We start from the raw sequence: 4,994 nt of genomic DNA on the forward strand, positions 1-4,994 counted from the left end.
CTGGTATGTTTTATCTCCCCAGCTACACTGCAAGCTGTCTAAGAAAAGAAAAAAAAATCAATTAACTGTTTTTGTATGCTCACGCTGATGGCATAGAGTAGGTGCCTCCTATTTCTATAACAAATGCCCTTGTTATCCACGTTTTTGTGAAACCCGGACCCCAGGCTCAACCTGAGGATGAAAACACTGGGGAGAGGAGGTGGGGTGCACACATCCTACGCATTAAGAGCACCTCCTCCCGGCTGGGCGCTGGCTCCCGCCTATAATCCCAGCACTCTGGGAGGCCGAGGCAGGTGGATTACCTGAGGTCAGGAGTTCAAGACCAGCCTGACCAACATGGTGAAACCCGTCCCTACTAAAAATACAAAAATTAGCCAGGTGCAGTGGCGTGTGCCTGTAATCCCAGCTACTTGGGAGGCTGAGGCAGGAGAATCGCTTGAACTCAGAGGCGGAGGTTGCAGTGAGCCGAGATGGTGCCACTGCACTCTAGCTCTGGGGCGATAGAGCAAGACTCTGCCTCAATTAAAAAAAAAAAAGGAACACCTCCTCCAGACACACTTCCAAATGATGCTCGGCTTCCAGGAGAGATCACAGACCAGAACCAGGTGCAGTGCATGAGTTTCCCACCTGAGCAAGGGTTTGACTGGGGACCTAAGTCTATGACCTGCTGGCTTCAGGTCAAACGTGGCCCAAGAAATGTCCCAAATCTCTTGTCCTCAAGATTGCCGTAAGGCTGATTGTTTAAAACCAGTTTATTTCACCTGTGAGTAGAACGTGGCCTTTCATGGGATGAGTACCACGCTGGGGATGAAGAGCTGTAAGGCTCTAGCCTGTGGTTATTCAAATGGCCGGGGCAAGGGTCTCATGGTATGGGTGTCCCTGAGTTGTTTTCACAGGTTTCTGTTGAGAAAGACAATTTGTTTCTTTCCTAGATTTTAGAAAACATAGAGTGTGCTCTTGAAAAAAAGGAGTTTGTTATAACTCGTTACGCACAGAAAATTATGAGAGCTGCCACTTCCTGGACAAACACTGTGTGCTGAGCACCCTCTGTACATTCTAATTTCATCCTCATGCCAGCCCAGTGGTGTAGGTACCGCAGCGACCTCCAGCTCATGGGTGAGTAGGTGAGGCCAGCTTTGTCCAAGGTCAAACAGCTGAGATTGTAGAGTGAGGATTGCAGACACCATCTGCCTGATAAAGCCACAGATAATTGTCCCCCTGGCCACACTGCCCCGAAGGGGGCCACTGGGCTGGTGTGAGGTTAACCTGGGGTCAGCAAGCCTGAAGAAATGGCCGTCCTACCCTGTGACAGTTTCCCAAGACAAAGGAATGGCCCCAGCATTGAACCCCTTGCTACCGAACACTGCCAGTGTGCAAGGGAAGGGACACCAGCTTTGCTTATCCACAGAGCACCAGTGGAGTTTTTACTGCCAAGCTCATAAACACCGGGCTGAAGCTTCTAGATGAGGGCGTGATGCACTGGCTGTCGTGGGCAGCTCAAGAATCCTGCAGGTCCGTGGGACCACCTGCTGTCTCTTCCCCTTCAGAGGACCTGCTATGGAAGTCACCACCTTGTGGTTGCCAGCCCACACCATGTAGGGGAGAGTGTGATATCAACTCTCAGGGCCTTGGAGAAAGTAACAAACCCTTCTCAAACACTTGACAAAAGAAAATCAAAAGTTGACTTTCCCATTTCCTTATGAGCGCTATGCCCTCAAACCATGGCCTCCAGTCTGGCTTCCCGGCCCCAAGCTGATGCACACTCAGGGGCTAGCTATACATTTTAATGGCCGCCTGTGCAGAAAGTAATCCAGAAAGAAAATCTGCTCCCCACCCTGCAATGTCATGTAATTTATCCCCAGGCAAATATCAATTCTGGGTTTATTTGTATCTCTGCTTCCTTCCCCCGGGATAGTGAATACAAATTTTCTGATAACCACACATGATAATTGCTTTCGGAAAGCCTGGAAGGTTTATCTTTCCCTCTGTGCTGTTTACTTCTTGGGGTAGCTGAGCTGAGCTCTGCCCAGTAGGTCATACTCCATCAGGTTCAGGGGCCATGCAGTAACATGGGTATCCGTTTCTGTCCGCCCTGGCTGAGAGATCCTTGGAGAGCTGGCTTGACCCTGGAAAACAAAAACAAATGAAGTGAGTGAGAGAACACCAGCTCCCTGACTGATTCTACACCAGTGACTTTAGGTCTGTTACAATGCAAAAGCACATGGTGATTTAGGCTGAAACTGTGCCAGGCAGCCCTAGGAAGTACGTCGTCGTTGTCTTCTTTTTTTTTTTTTTTTTTTTTTTTTGAGATAGGTTCTTGCTCTGTCACCCAATTTGGAGTGCAATGTCATGATCATAGCTCACTGTAACCCCCACCTCCTAGGCTCAAGTGATCCTCCCACTTCAACCTCCCAAGTAGCTGGGACTACAGGTGCATGCCACCATGCCTGGCTAATGTTTTATCTTTAGTAAAGACGAGGTCTCACTATGTTGCCCAGGCTGGTCTCAAACTCCTGAACTCAAGCGATCCTCCTGCCTCAGCCTCCCACGGTGCTGGGATTACAGGTGTGAGCCACTGTACCCACCCTAGAATCAGTTTGTTGATATCCACACAGTAACTTGCTGGGATTTTGATTGGGATTGCGTTGAATCTATAGACCAAGATACCAGCCCAAGGAGGTGAGTCTGTGTCCACATTTTTATGATCAAAAATGTTAGAAAGGTTGAAAAAAAAATAGTACAACTGTCAACCATAGCCACCATCTAGAGTCAATTAACATTTAATATGTTTCCATATTTGCTTTAATCTGCGTGTGTGTGTGTAAATAGTTTTTGGCTAAACTATTCAAACATAAGTTGTTGAGATCTTGATATCTTAGTCCTCGATACTTCAGTATACATCTTCTAAAATATAAGGATGTTCTCTCACACAGCTGTCATACTTCTGTCTCAACTAAGAAAATTTAAAACAGTTCCTTAATATTAATTATCTAGTCCATGTTCAAATTTCTCCAGTTGTTCCTGAAAGAGACTTTATGCTAGATTTTTGAACCAAGATTCAATCAAGGTCCACACATTGCATTTGGTTGTTAGGTACCTTTTAAAAAATGTTTTAGTGTTAAAAAATTCAGAACAGTCCAATTCACTTTTTTAATGACATTGGCTATTTAAAGTGACCAGGCCGGTTGTCTTGTAAATGTACAAGTTTTTGGATTTGCCTATGTGTAACAATAACACTTCACTATTTTCCGTATGTATTTATTTTTAGAAGTAAACCTTGATTAGTTTGTGCCAAATTCGGTAATTCTATTCCCTTTCCCAGTGGCTAGATTAAGAATGACCCATGATATAATTCCAAAAAGATGACTGGGAGGCTTCTTGAAAAAAAGTACTCCCAGCTTGGGCAACACAGCAAAACCTCATTTCTACAAAAACACACACAAAAAATTAGCTGGGTATGGTAGCGCACACCTGTGGTCCCTGCTACCCGGGAGGCTGAGGCAGGAGGATCACTTGAGATGAAGGCTGCAGTGAGCAAAGATTGCACCACTGCACTCCAGCCTGGGCAACAGAGCAACACCCCATCTTGAAAAAAAGCACTCAAGGAAGTTCAATTCATTATTACTGTGTAACCATATTACCACAAACTTAACAGCTTAAAATAACCCGTTTTTTGGTTTTTGGTTTGTTTTTTTGAGACGGAGTCTCGCTCTGTCACCCAGGCTGAAGTGCAATGGCACAATCTTGGCTCACTGCAAGCTCCGCCTCCCGGGTTCAAGCGATTCTCCTGCCTCAGCCTCCTGAGTAGCTGGGACTACAGGCGCGTGCCACCAAGCCTGGCTAATTTTTTGTATTTTTAGTAGAGTCAGGGTTTCACCGTGTTAGCCAGGATGGTCTTGATCTCCTGACCTCATTATCTGCCGGCCTCGGCCTCTCAAAGTGCTGGGATTACAGGCATGAGCCACCGCGCCCGGCCCCACCAGTTTTTTAATCTTACAATTTCTGGGGGTCAGGAGTCCAGGGACAGCTTAGCTGGATCCTCTGCTTCAGGGTCTCAGAAAGATGGAATCCCAGGGTCAGCCAATGCCGCAGTCTCATCCAAGGCTTGACTGGAGAAGGGTTCACTTCCAGTCTCACATGGCAGTTCCTTGCAGGCTGCCAGACTGAGGGCCTCAGTGTCACACTGGCTGCTGAGCAGAAGCCACACTCAGTTCTCTAACATGTGGCTTTCTCCATGTGGCAGCTCACAACATGGAAGCTGCTTCACCAAAGCCAGCAAGGGAGAGAGAGGGTCTCCTAGTGACGTGGCTGTTACAATTGTATGTAACGTGAGCACATGTGTGTAATCACAGAGAGCCCATCACCTTTGCCATATTCCACTGGTGAGAAGCAAGTCACAGGTTCCATATCACAACAAGGGATGATGCCAACAGCTGGGGCTCATGAAGGCCACCCTAGATGCTGTCCTCTGTAGAGTAATGGCTTCTCTCTGGAGTTGTGGCTGCAGACACCTGTACTCAAAAGAAGACAAGGCAGAGGGCAAAAGCCTTCCCAATGAAGGTGGCAGAGTGGAAAGATGGAAAAAAGCCAAGACTTTGATAATGTGACTGAACCACTGTATCTTTGGACTCCTAATTACGTGAAATAATCCTTATGGCATAAGCCATTTTGAAGGGCATTTTCTGTATTTTCAACCTAAAGCATTCTCTATCGTAGACGCTTTTGGTGGAGGTGATAAAATCATAAATAACTAATGAACCCAAGGTAGAATGTCCTCAGATGCAAAGAGGTACACGGTGCTGTCTGAGTCCAGACAAGGAGGAGTTTCCTTCCAGCTGGAGAGCCAGAAGAAACTTCATGAAGGGCATTTTGAAGAATAGGTAAGTCTGGGCCAGGCGCAATGGCTCATGCCTGTAATCCCAGCACTTTGGGAGGCCGAGGTGGGTGGATCACCTGAGGTCAGGAGTTCAAGACCAGCCTGGCCAACATGGTGA

The sequence above is a fragment of the Homo sapiens genome, chromosome 10 (genome assembly GCF_000001405.40).
Source record: "Homo sapiens chromosome 10, GRCh38.p14 Primary Assembly".
Lineage (NCBI taxonomy): Eukaryota > Metazoa > Chordata > Mammalia > Primates > Hominidae > Homo > Homo sapiens.